Consider the following 14,201-nt stretch of genomic DNA (forward strand, 5'->3'; position numbering starts at 1 on the left):
CCTGGTAACCCATGGATTCTTCCCCCTGTTGTAATTATAAACTACAGGGTCAGACATTCATCAACAAAAGCTTACATTTCTAGTAATTGTAAGAGATAGAATTTGATTTAATTTTAAATGGAGCCTCTGTCCCTTGAACTTACCCAGTGAAGCAGAGTAAGCACATCCTCATTCCAAAATAACAGACAAAGGATATACTTTCATAATCAGTTTCTATATATCCATGGAAATGTCTGTCTACGTACTTACTGGTGTATCTATCTGTGAGAGCTGATGCACTATTGTGGGCCTCAATGCAGGTTGTGACTTGGAAGCACACATGCACACAAGCAAATACTCACTTTACATTCTTTACTCCTTTACACCTGAAAGAGTTATGGTTCTCCAACTTCATACCCTTCTCAACAATTAAATATACACATTGTGTAAATATGTGTAAGACCAGTTATTCCTATGTCAGTTACCTACAACATTATGTACTGTGTCTCTTCTTAGGAGAATCTATTGTGGAGGAACTTGAAGGAAGGAGGAATCTCCTATAGGATTCCATGCCAGGATGCTGTGGAGAGCCATCCTTGTCTAGACTCCAGAGGACACTCTTCTGTGTCATCTGATTGACATTCTAGACAAGTGCTGTCAATGTGAAATAATTCTTACTAAAGACATGCAGATTCAGGTACAGACAGCTTGTTTTAAGGAATTAAGAGTGACTCATGGAGTCAATGACTTCACTGCCATTTCAGTGAAACTGATGCTATTTCCTGTTTTACCATTTTCCAGCTCTATGTGTTAGTAGGGAGATCACTTTCTGGAAGTTTCAAAGATTCAGAACTTTAGGATATTACAGATATCACTTCAGAAGAGAGAAAGTAATCCAGATTCTGGAAAATCCCATAATGAGTGTCTTGGATTTTGCAGACTTTTAGAAGTTCCATCTGATTTCTTATAAATCTTGCAGGTAAGCCAACTTGTGCCCCTGCCTTCCTAGCTTTTTCTTTTTCTTTCTTTTTTTTTTTTTGGTGTGTGTGTGTGTGTGTAAATCCAGTTTTTCTGCACCTATGCAAATAATCCTATCAATTTTAAGGAGACCAGCCTTATTTTGTGATGAATAATGGTTTTTCTGTTTGATCAAAGCTGAGGAAAGTATAGGGAGGAAAATCTGTGCCCCAGTAGAAAACTGCAGAATCTGAACTCAAGAAGACCATCCTCCTTGGTTCCCAACTCTGTCACTAGGTCACTGCACAGTCATGAGTAACTCTCTTCAAATCCTGTGATTCAGTGATTCTTCCTTGTGATAAGTAGACTATAGGTGAAAAATCTTTGTCTTCTGTGAATGTATGAATCACTAAATTAGAGTACTTTCTTCATCTTACTTTCAACTCTAAATTGAAGGATAGGAAAGAGATCCATGCAACGCAATGATGCTTTTTGACTTCAAAAGTTAGTAATAGGTTCTTCATTTGAAACTTTGGCAGCTTTTGGAGAATTGTAATTATTATGCTGAATATGTACATCCTCAACTTGATTTACACAGGAGATTATATGGCTGTTTTTTTTTTTAACTGAATTCTTCCAGTAGGGAAACTTTTACATTGGGAACAAGACAGAAAATGTCTTTCATTTAGAGTTTCTGAGAAACCGTTTTTCTGTGAAGATACATAACTGTTGCCAGGTGAAGTTAAAGTACATTAAAAACAGGTGATATGAGGAAACAGAAGAATTGTAATGAGTAAAGTTTAATTATTAAAATAATTCTACTTGTTTTTAATTTTTTATACTTTCTCAATTATTTACCACTTATATGGAGTTTTTGACTTAATAAATTTAATTTTTTTTCTTTTCCTTTTGTTTTGGGTGATTAAAAAGTGAGCCACCGTTATTTCAGATTTACTGCCAAAAATTTTTGAGGGATGAACTACACCACACATTTTTAAAAGGTTTATATTAATGTATGTTTATTTATGTAGGTGTGACATTTACTCATAGGTTTGTGTGTGTGTACATACATATGCATATATGTATGTGTGTTTGTGGATCTAGAGAAGTTTACTGAAAATCTCTGAATCTCAGTTTCATCATCTATAAAATGTCAGTGGCGATACCAATCTGAAGAGTTATTTTGATGAACTCCAACAGAATCAAGGAATGAATGCTGTGACGTTCCAGGTGCCAATATGTGGAGAGAGTCTGTGAAAGTTCACGCCTCCCTCCTTCCTTTCATGTGAGACGTAGTTCAGGTTTAAGGTTTGTGGGTCCTACTCACTCTGAAATCTCGACTACAACTTTTTCTGCTTGTTTTTTCCTCCTGTGTATTATTTCATTAATGCTGACACCTGTATACTGAATTTTTAGTGAAAAGAAAGTAAAAGCAAGTAAAGATGTTTCTTAGTTGGCTTAAATACCTTCTTTATAGCTATTTCTGTAAATAAAAAAATAAAATATAGCTATTTCTGTAAATAAAAAAAATAATAAAAGGACTATTTCTGTAAATAAAAGAATAAAATTTCTTATATTTTACATAAGAAAAATATATCCTGTTCACATTATTGAAACAGAAACATCATGGCTGAGGCTGCTTTCCTGTCAGGAACCAGCCTCTCATTTTATTTAAATAATATTATATAATAGGACATTAGAATATTAAAACCCTGGAACATGGATAATAAAAAGATGATACATTGGCAGTCCTAAAACACAGCATTAAATATCAGATCTGATGTGTCATTTATTATGCTGTTTTATGTTCCTTTTTCCTCTCTTTAAAATTAGGATAATGTAAACCATATCTTGGACAGTTTGTCTTAGACAGCCCTCTGTAAAATACAAATGATAGAAATGTTTGAAATGTAAATTGTGTTAACAATTTCAAATATTACATGTTCTACTTACCAATAATTAACCAATAATATAAATTATATTGTATTGGATCTGTATATAGTATTGGATTTGTCTTAATGCCAATCTCCTATTGATTCCAAATGACATTTATGAAAATAATTTTCTCTTCTAAATTTTTTTTTAATTACCAATGTCATAAAATACCTGAAAATAAATTGCTCTGCAGAGGCTTAGAAACCTGCCAAGATTTTTTAAAAATGTATTTGGAAATCCAAATTGGAATAATTTCAGTAAATTTAAGTGATTTTTTATTAGGGCAAATATACATAAGAGAAACACCAGTTTAACCTTTTTAAGTGTAGAATTCTGTGTCATTAAGCACATATACTGTTGTGCAGCCATCACTACCATGCACCTATCTCCAAAACAATTTCATTGTCTCCAACTAATACTTTGGCTCCAGCATACCACTTTCCCTCTCTGTGAATTTCACTACAGTGGGTACTTCATGTAAGTGAATTCATGCAATATTTGTCTTTCTGTGACAGGCTTATTTCACTTAGCATAATGTATTCAAGCTTCATCCATGTTGTAGCATGTGTCAAAATTTCTTCGCTTTTAAAAACTGTATACAGGCCAGGCGCAGTGGCTCACGCCTGTAATCCCAGCACTTTGGGAGGCCCAGGTGGGAGGATCACGAGGTCAGGAGATCAAGACCATCCTGTGTAACACGGTGAAACCCCGTCTCTACCAAAAATACAAGAATTTAGCCAGGCGTGGTGGCGGGCGCCTGTAGTCCCAGCTACTCGGGAGGCTGAGGCAGGAGAATGGCGGGAACCCGGGAGGCAGAGCTTGCAGTGAGCCGAGATCGCACCACTGCACTCCAGCCTGGGCGAAGCGAGACTCCAGCTCAAAAAAAAAAAAAAGAGTTATGGTGGATTCCCCCCTTTTCAATTGTTTGGAACTGTTTCAGAAGAAATTGTACCAGCTCCACTTTGGACCTCTGATAGAATTCAGCTATAATCCATCTGGACCTGGGCCTTTTCTTTGGTTGGTAGGCTATTTATTATAGCCTCAATTTCAGAACTTGTTATTGGTCTATTCAGGGATTGAAATTCTGCGGATAAGGATGAATTTCTGTCTTAACTTACTCGTGTCTCCCTTCCGGATGGATTGTAGGAATGCCCCATGGAAAATTGCAATCAAACATCAACTGATTTCATCTTACTGGGGCTGTTCCCACCATCAAGAATTGGCCTTTTCCTCTTCATCCTCATTGTTTTCATTTTCCTAATGGCTCTAATTGGAAACCTATCCATGATTCTTCTCATCTTCTTGGACACTCATCTCCACACACCCATGTGTTTCCTACTTAGTCAGCTCTCCCTCATTGACCTAAATTACATCTCCACCATTGTTCCTAAGATGGCATCTGATTTTCTGCATGGAAACAAGTCTATCTCCTTCACTGGGTGTGGGATTCAGAGTTTCTTCTTCACGACTTTAGCCGTTGTAGAAGCGCTACTCCTGATATCAATGGCCTATGTTCGTTGCATTGCTATTTGCTTTCCTCTCCACTATCTCATCCGCATGAGCAAAAGAGTGTGTGTGCTGATGATAACAGGATCTTGGATCATAGGCTCGATCAATGCTTGTGCTCACACTGTATATATACTCCATATTCCTTATTGCCCATCTAGGGTTATCAATCATTTCTTCTGTGATGTCCCAGCAATGGTGACTCTGGCCTGCATGGACACCTGGGTCTATGAGGGCACAGTGCTTTTGAGTGCCACCATCTTTCTCGTGTTTCCCTTCATTGCTATTTCATGTTCCTATGGCCGGGTTCTCCTTGCTGTCTACCACATGAAATCTGCAGAAGGGAAGAAGAAGGCCTACCTGACCTGCAGCACCCACCTCACTGTAGTAACTTTCTACTATACACCTTTTGTCTACACCTATCTACGTCCAAGATCCCTGTAATCTCCAACAGAGGACAAGGTTCTGGCTGTCTTCTACACCACCCTCACCCCAATGCTCAACCCCATCATCTATAGCCTGAGGAACAAGGAGGTGATGGGGGCCCTGACACGAGTGAGTCAGAGAATCTGCTCTGTGAAAATGTAGAAACACTTTCTGCCTAAGGTTTCAGGACTCAGATACACATCCATTCAGCAGTGTATAGTAATTAAAATATCATTTCATTCCTAGAGTTCAGGAGCAAAAAGTAATCAACAGAAGAAAAAAAAATCACTGATTTCTGGACAAAATTGTTTTACAAAGATGTATATAATTCTAAACAACCTTTTTCTTCATGGCATTTATCCCATAAATTTTGAAAGCACATACTTTTGCCAAAATATTGTCAATGAGAATGTTTGTTTTTAGTTATGCAGAAATGGAAATGAAATTTGTCTAACCAAAGTTGGCACTTAGTATAACAATTCTATTATTGTCAATTTATTTTCCAGTAATTTTAAATTTACATTTTTGTTTATGTCTAAAACAAAAAAATATCTCTTGACTTGGTGGATCCAATTGAAAACTGTAAAATGTCTTTCTTATTTAGACACTTAACGTACCAGTTACTGTTTCTTTCAACTTAGGGAAGTTATTTTTACACAATTTAGCAGAGAGCTCGTCAGGGATTCTTAAGTCCTGATACCACGCTGGATGGCCTATGACAAGTTTATGTGTTTTATAGGGGAATGAATCCCAGGAAATGATTGAACATCAGGTATATTTTAGGTCAACAACAAGGACTGGAATGTGCCAGCAGTAATAAAAATGATTACATTTAGTTCTTTAACCCATTTTGAGTTGATTTTGGTATGGTATAAGAATTGGGAGTTTAGTTTCATTTTTCTGCTTAAAAATATCCAGTTTTCCCTGCACAGTGTATTGAAGACACTGTCTTTTTCCCAGTGAACATTCTTGGGTCTGTTGTCAAAAATCAGTTGACTGCACCAGGCACAGAAAGATTCTGCATGTTCTCACTCATCTGTGGGAGCTAAAATTTTTAAAAATGGAACCAGTGGAAATAGAGAATAGACTGATGGTCACCAGAGGGTGGGAAGGGTGCAGGGGAGGGGTGATAAAGTGGGGATGGTTAACAGTTGCAAAAATATAATTAGATATAATGAATAAGAGCCAGTAATTGGTAGCACAACAGAGTGACTATAGTAAACAATAATTTATTGTAGAATTTATTGTATATCTTCAAGAATAACTCAAAGTGTGGAATTGGAATGTTCTCAACACAAAGAAATAATGCATATTTCAGGTGATGGTTACCCCAATTACCCAAATTTGATCATTACACATTGTATGCCTTTATCAAAACATCACATACCCTCCATAATTATATATTACTATTATAGTAATTAAAAATAAAAAAATTAAATCAGTTAACTGTAGATGGGTGGATTTATTTCTGGGTTCTCTGTTCTGTTTCATTGTTCTATGTGTCTTTTTTATGCCAGTACCATTCTGTTTTGGTTATTCCATGTTTGTAGTATAGTTTGAAGTTTGGTACTTTTATGCCTCCAGGTTTGTTCTTTTTGTTCAAGATTGCTTTGACTATTTGGGGTCTTTTATAGTTCCATACGAATCGTAGAATGGTTTTTACTATTTATGTGCAGAATGTCATTGGTATTTTGATAGACATTGCATTGAATCTGTAGTTTGGTTATTTAAATAATATTAATTATTCAATCCATGAGCATTGGATGTTTTCCCATTTGTTTGTATTCCTCTTCATTTTCTTTTACCAGTGTTTTGTACAAATCATTCTAGTGTTCTCTTCCATGTCTACAGTTAACAGTAAAGTATTACGGTAAAAATTATTTCAATGCTTTTGAAATGTCATTTCTATTTCTAAGCCTGTGGATATTTGTTTTACAATGTCGTAGCAGTTAAAACATACATTTTGAACTTGTTTTATGAATCAGAGTAAGTCTTTGTTGTGCTTTGTTGCAATGAGCAGCGTATATTTTTATTTGGTGATGATTTACTAACAAAGTTTACTGCCTAAACTTCTTGCCATTTCCTGTCCTGAACTCAGTCAGATACGTCATATTCCATGAATACAACAGAGATGGGCTCTGGAGCAGAGGGAAAATAGGCCTCCCATCAGCAGTCACTTGCTACTGCCAGGGAGAGCACCTCCTCTCTTCCCCGTTAGGGACAATTGTACCCAACTGCCACCTGTGCCACTGCTTCTATCATTACTACCAATCTGAGCCCAGTCATACCCCAGCCACTGCTTGGGGTCCTGTGGTACTGTGAAATATTGCAAGATATGTGTGTGTGTGTGTGTGTGTGTGTGTGTGTGTGTGTGTGTGTTTGTGTGCATAAGAACGCCAGGCCAGTTGTCTCATGTGGGTGTTGCCTGAGCCCACTTGTGTAGTCACTGCTACTGAACCAAAACTGCATGCATTCTGCCAACCTCTCCAGTTCCTCTGTCACAAGCATGCTTAAAGATGAAATGATTGAAACTTCCAATGATAACAGCAGAGCATGAAACCATGCATGGAGCCCTTTGAGTGTGGGACCCTGTGCATAGGTCCATGAAACCAATCCCGAGAAGGATGGGAAGAGTGAACATGAAGTGAATGAGATCATGCAGCCTAGGATAGTGGTGGGAATGCGTGATGGTCTGAGTGTTTGTATACTCCCCAAATCCATATGCTTAAATCTTAACCCTCAATGTGATAATATTAGGAGTTGGGGCCTTTTGGGAAATGACTAGGTCATGAGGGTAGCACCCTCTTGAGTAAGATTTGTGCCTTTCTAAAGAAGGCTTGAGAGAGCTTGTTTGTGCCTTCTACCATGTGAGGTCACAGCAGACAGTACCAACTATGGTGTCATACAAGCTACCATCTATGAACCAGAAAGCAACCTTTCTCCAGACACTGAATCTTCAGTCACTTCGTCTTAAATTTCACAGGTTCCACAACTCTGAGAAACACATTTCTCTTGTTTATAGGTTACCCCATTTAAGATACATTTGTCATAGCAGCTTGAATACACTAAGATGGAATGTCTACTGTTTTTGTTATTTATTATTATTGGAAAGAACCTGAGGGAGGACTGAAATAAGCAGTGGTGCTCAGTTCAGACCCTTTACCCTTTCAGGTAGTGATTCATGGAGGGAATCAGTAGACTTAGCTCTATGATTTTCTGTGATGTACCATGGCCTCGGGGAAATCATTCCATCTCTCTGAAGTTAGTTGACTGAAAAACAATATGGATGCCTTGTACCTTATCAGTAAATGGCATCATTGAAATCACTCCTACTGACATTCCTGTATAGGCAATGGTGATCCTATTTTTCATGCCAATGACTCTGGCAGTGGAGATAAAGAGGTCATCAGTGAATATTGAGCCTTCCAAGGCTATCATAAATGACACTTCAAAAGTCTTTTATGCCAGTAGGCTCTGGCTCAGGAAAGCAATAAGCTAGTCCCCTCTGACGTGGTGTCTGCACTCAAGAGGCCACTCCTTTCCCCTTATGGTCATTAAGAAGAACAACATAAAAAGAAGTCAAATTATTCAAATCTACTGTCATTTGCTACATTGTTTATGAGAATATACACAAGATAATTTTGAAAGTTGGGCAATAATTCCCCTTGGTGGGGAAGTTAATGAATTCATTACCTCACAGAGTTCTTGGCTAATTTTTAAGTTATGCCTCTTCCTCGTTTTAGCCATTTTTCTTTCCATCCAAATGTTATGCTGTAGTTATTATTTTGCACTTCACAGTCGTTCTTTAATTATTTCCTGTCTTTGGAACAGAAGATGCAAATTTTATAGAACATGGTATCTATCTGGATTTCATAACATACACTGTGTGCATTTAGAAATTTCTTATGTATTCCATTAGCAAAGTTTGATTTTTGGAAAAGGACATGAGTACTCTTTCTATTTTGAAGGATGAGTATATTTCTCGTTAGAACAAGTTGTGGTTCAGTAGTGAAATAATTAAAGTAAAGGAATGAGTGGTGTACCATCCACAAATATGCTGACTCAGCATATTTATTAGTTTGAGCTGAAAACATTGGAGAAATTTTGGTTAACATTAGAAGAAAAGGTTACCTAAGCTGTCTTTTTCTGCATGCAGCAAGCTATAAAGATTCCTCCAGGACTCTTTGGTACATTCTTATACTTTTCTGGTACCCTCCCTGTATCACAATAGAAAATAGCACTTACAACCAGAGCCTGGGAATTGGAAGAATGCAGTTGACCTGAATAAATAAACTTTAAGAATTAACCCTTATTTTCCACTAGCTTTACACCCCCATATACCTCCTAGTGACACCCCTAGAATTAATGGCTTCAAGCCAGTTTCTCTATTCTTTGATTTTTTCTATAATTTATCATTCTTTGTCTAAAAGTATAAAAATATCTTGCATTGACCATTTATTTGGACTTCATACTCTTGTGAAGAGTCACATGTACATGTAATATTAATACAGCTTATGTGTTTTTTTCTCATTAATCTGTGTTGTATCAATTTGTTTCCTAGACCTGGGCAAAAAGCTCACATAGGAGATAAAGTGAGTGATCTCTCATGTTTCTACAGAAGTAACAATTAACTTCCTTTTGTACTTACAAAGAGGCTTAGACTCCCACACAATAATAGTGGGAGACTTTAACACCCCACTGTCAATATTAGAGAGATCACTGAGACAGAAAATTAACAAGAATATTCAGGACTTTAACTCAGCTCTGGACCAAGCAAATCTAATAGGCATTTACAGAACTATTCACCCCAAATCAATAGAATATACATTCTTCTTAGCAATACATTGCACTTATTCTAAAATTGACCACATAATTGGAATTCAAACACTCCTCAGCAAATGCAAAAGATTGGAAATCATAACAAACAGTCCCTCAGACCACAGTGCAATCAAATTAGAACTCAGGACTAAGAAACTCACTCAAAACCACACAACTACATGGAAACTGAACAACCTGCTCCTGAATGACTATTGGGTAAATAATGAAATTAAAGCAGAAATAAATAAGTTGCTTGAAGCCAATGAGAACAAAGACACAATGTATCAGAATCTCTGGGACACAGCTAAAGCAGTGGTTAGAGGAAAATTTATAGCACTAAATGCCCACATCAGAAAGCGGGAAAAATCTAAAACAGACACACTAACATCACAATTAAAAGAAAAAGAGAAGCAAACCCAAACAAATTCAAAAGCTAGCAAAAGACAAGAAATAACTAAGATCAGAGGAGATAGAGACTCAAAAAATCCTTCAAAAAATCAATGAATCCAGGAGCTGGTTTTTTGAAAAGGTTAACAAAATAGACCACTAGTCAGATTAATAAAGAAGAAAAGAGAGAAGAATAAAATAGACACAATAAAAAATGATAAAGGGGATATCACCACTGATCCCACAGAAACACCGACTATCATCAGAGAATACTATAAAGACCTCTACACAAATAAACTAGAAAATCTAGAAGAAATGGGCAAATTCCTGGACATATACACCCTCTGAAGTCTAAACCAGGAAGAAGTCAAATCCCTGAACAAAACAATAACAAGTTCTGAAATTGAGGCAGTAATTAATAGCCTTATAACCAAAAAAAGCCCAGGATCAGATGGATTCACAGCCGAATTCTACCAAAGGTACAAAGCAGAGCTGGAATCATTCCTTCTGAAACAGTTTCAGACAATTGAAAAAGAGGGACCCCTCCCTTTTATGAGGACAGCATCTCCCCAACACCAAAACCTGTCAGAGACAAAACAGAAAAAGAAAATTTCAGGCCAATATTCTTGATGAATGTAGATGCAAAAATCCTCAATAAAATACTGGCAAACCAAATCCAACAGCATATCACAAAACTTATCCACCACCATCAAGTTGGATTCACCCCTGGAATGCAAGGATGGTTCAACATAAGCAAATCAATAAATGTAATGCATCGCATAAACAGAACTAATGACAAAACCATATGATTATTTCAATAGATGCGGAAAAGACCTTCAATAAAATTCAACACTCCTGCATGCTAAAAACTCTCAATAAGCTAGGTGTTCACAGAACGTATCTCAAAATAATAAGAGCTATTCATGACAAACCCACAACCAATACAATACTGAATGGGCAAAAGCTGGAAGCATTCCCTATGAAAACCAGCACAAGATAAGGATGCCCTCTCTCACCACTCCTATTCTGCATAGTATTGGAAGTAGTGGCCAAGGCAATCAGGCAGGAGAAAGAAATAAAGGGTATTCAAATAGGAAGAGAGGAAGTAAAATTATCTCTCTTTGCAGATGACATGATTGCATATTTAGGGAACCGCATAGTCTCAGCCCAAAATCTTCTGTTTGTTATGATTTCCGTTTTTTGCATTTGCTGAGGAGTGTTTTACTTCCAATTATGTTGGGTCAGTTTAAGAAGAAGTCAATGCAGTGCTGAGAAGAATGTATATTCTGTTGATTTGGGGTGGAGAGTACTGTAGATTTCTATTAGGTTGGCTTGGTGCAGAGCTGAGCTCTAGTCCTAAATATCCTTGTGAATTTTCTGTCTCATTGCTCTCTCTAATATTGACAATGGGGTGTTAAAGTCTCCCATTATTATTGTGTGGGAGTCTAAGTCTCTTTGTAGGTCTCTAAGAACTTGCTTTATGAATCTGGGTGCTCCTGTATTGGGTGCATATATATTTAGAATAGTTAGCTCTTCTTGTTGTATTGATCCCTTTACCACTATGTAATGCCCTTCTTTGTCTCTTTTGATCTTTGTTGGTTTAAAGTCTGTTTTATCAGAGACTAAGATTGCAAATACTGCTTTGTTGTTGTTTTTTTTTTTTTTTTTTTTTTTTGCTTTCCATTTGCTTAGTAAATCTTCCTCCATCCCTTTATTTTGAGTCTATGTGTGTCTTTGCATGTGAGATGGGTCTCCTGAATACAGCACACCAATAGGTCTTGACTCTTTATCCAATTTGCCAGCCTATGTCTTTGAATTGGGATATTTAGCCCATTTACATTTAAGGTTAATATTGCTATGTGTGAATTTGATCCTGTCATTATGATGCTATTTGGTTACTTTGTCCGTTAGTTGATGCAGTTTCTTCATAGTGTCGATGGTCTTTACAATTTGGTATGTTTTTGCAGTGGCTGGTACCCGTTGTTTCATTCCATGTTTAGTGCTTCCTTCAGGAGCTCTTGTAAGGTAGGCCTGGTGGTGACAAAATCTCTTAGCATTTGCTTGTCTGTAAAGGATTTTATTTCTCCTTCATGTATGAAGCTTAGTTTGGCTGGATATGAAATTATGTTTTGAAAATTCTTTTCTTTAAGGTTGAATATTGGCTCCCATTCTCTTCTCGCTTATAGGGTTTCTGTAGAGAGATCCACTGTTAATTTTGATGGTCTTCCCTTTGTGGGTAAACCAGTCTTTCTCTCTGGCTGCTGTTATCATTTTTCCTTCAGTTTAACCTTGGTGAATCTGACAATTATGTGTTGTAGGGTTGCTCTTCTCGAGGAGTATCTTTGTGGTGTTCTCTGTATTTCCTGAATTTGAATGTTGGTCTGTCTTGATAGGTTGGGGAAGTTCTCCTGGATAATATCCTGAAATGTGTTTTCCAGCTTGGTTCCATTCTCCCCATCATTTTCAGGTATACCAATCAAATGTAGGTTTGGTCTTTTCTCATAGTCCTATATTTCTTGGAGGCTATGATCTTTATAGTAAGAGGACATAAAACCCATTTTCTTAGCAAATTTTCAATATATAATGCAGTATTATTAACCATTAGCTATCAAGACTTATTCAACCCTTTCTCTGCTGCAATTTCTGCTGTTTTGGCATTTTGGTCTGTTACCACTCCATGGGCAATTGAACCCTGTGGGTGGGCCTGTATCAATCCTCCTGCCCTCAGTATCTCTGTAGGTGGAATGACAGGCCTGTACCACTGTGTCCTGCTCTTTTACAAAAGACTTGACATAAATGGTTATCACCTGAGTCTTGTATCTTTGGGAGATAGAATGGGCTTACTTTTTAAGTAAATATTATTATGCATTTAATATCTATGTGATTTAATGGATAATTCAAATGGACTGAAAGTAGACATTTAAAAATATAAACCAAACAGCTCAGTTTTATTTATGTTCCTTATTCTAATCACTTCTTCCAGAATAAATCAAGTTGTGAACTACTTTATGCTTGCTTTTGTGGTTTCTGCTGAGAAAGTGTGAAATACTCCATTTCTACTTCCAGACCATTCTCAGGGAGAACAGGGGTATTTCAGGGTTCCCTTCTTCTCTGGATTTGTTGGGTAGGAGATGTAAGGGACTGCCACAGTGCTTCTCTGACACAGGCCACCCTGCCACAATCCTGGTGGTCCCCTGAAGATGATTCTGTCCTGAGATCCAGACGGCAGACTTCCTTTGTTTCATATGCCCAAGTCCATGTTAGTTTCTGTCTCATATCCCCCACATGTGTTTACAGGATCCCAGTGGGCAGTCTTGAGTCATGACCCATAAAGTCTTTCTTTCATACAGAAATCCTCTCAAAGCACCTCTACCTGCATCTAATAAGGATTCTTCCCTCCTCATTCAGCACAAATGTGTTTTGTCTTCTAAGGAAGATATAAAACCAGTGCCTAGTGTGCACTAGATGTGGCATCTACTTTTATGTTCAAAGGCAGGGTTTTAAAGGTAAAGAAATTCTTTAGATTTTGAAATGCAAGAATATCAAAACATCTGTATTTGACTTTCAAGAAATTATTTTTGCTAGTAATATACACTACCTACCCTGATTAGATCATTATGTAACATATACTTAAATAAAAACATGAAATTGAAACCCATAAATACATACAATAACAATGTATCAATTAATTAAATAAATGATTATTAAAAACATTTAAACATTTATAAAATTCCAAATATTTTAAATGGACTAATGCTACTTTTTCAAGATAGAAGGCATATTTAATTTACTGTAAACCATGAAAAATTTGAGTACCTTTAAGGTACTCTTTTGCATAAAAATTTAATTACTAAATATATTCTAGATATTATTATACCACAGTCAGTAGTAAGATCAGTTTTATTATCTATTTTCATAAGAGAAAATTGTTTTAAAATTTAATGGGTATTTCTAGAAGAAAGGAAACAATATAAATATATATTTAAAATATGTTAAAGATAACTCCAATATGTGATATTTTAATAACTTCTACTTACATGTTTTAATTAAATTAACCTAGTTCCATTTTCATGTTCTAGAATTTATTGCTAAAATAAGCTAAATTGGGAAAGAAATTAATATATACAGACACATCCTTGCTATAAATGCAGTGAATAACAACATAAAAAGTGTAGGATTTCATAAAGTATTAG

General features: G+C 36.5%; 1 protein-coding gene and 1 pseudogene across 2 annotated transcripts in view; both read left to right on the forward strand.

Moving 5' to 3' along the window:
• OR2L13 (olfactory receptor family 2 subfamily L member 13) overlaps nt 1-14,201 on the forward strand; it is a 163,987-nt gene that overhangs the window by 61,928 nt on the left and 87,858 nt on the right. The window lies entirely within an intron of this gene.
• OR2L6P (olfactory receptor family 2 subfamily L member 6 pseudogene) lies at nt 4,027-4,965 on the forward strand (annotated as a pseudogene).

This window comes from Homo sapiens, chromosome 1 (genome assembly GCF_000001405.40).
Source record: "Homo sapiens chromosome 1, GRCh38.p14 Primary Assembly".
NCBI classification, from domain to species: domain Eukaryota; kingdom Metazoa; phylum Chordata; class Mammalia; order Primates; family Hominidae; genus Homo; species Homo sapiens.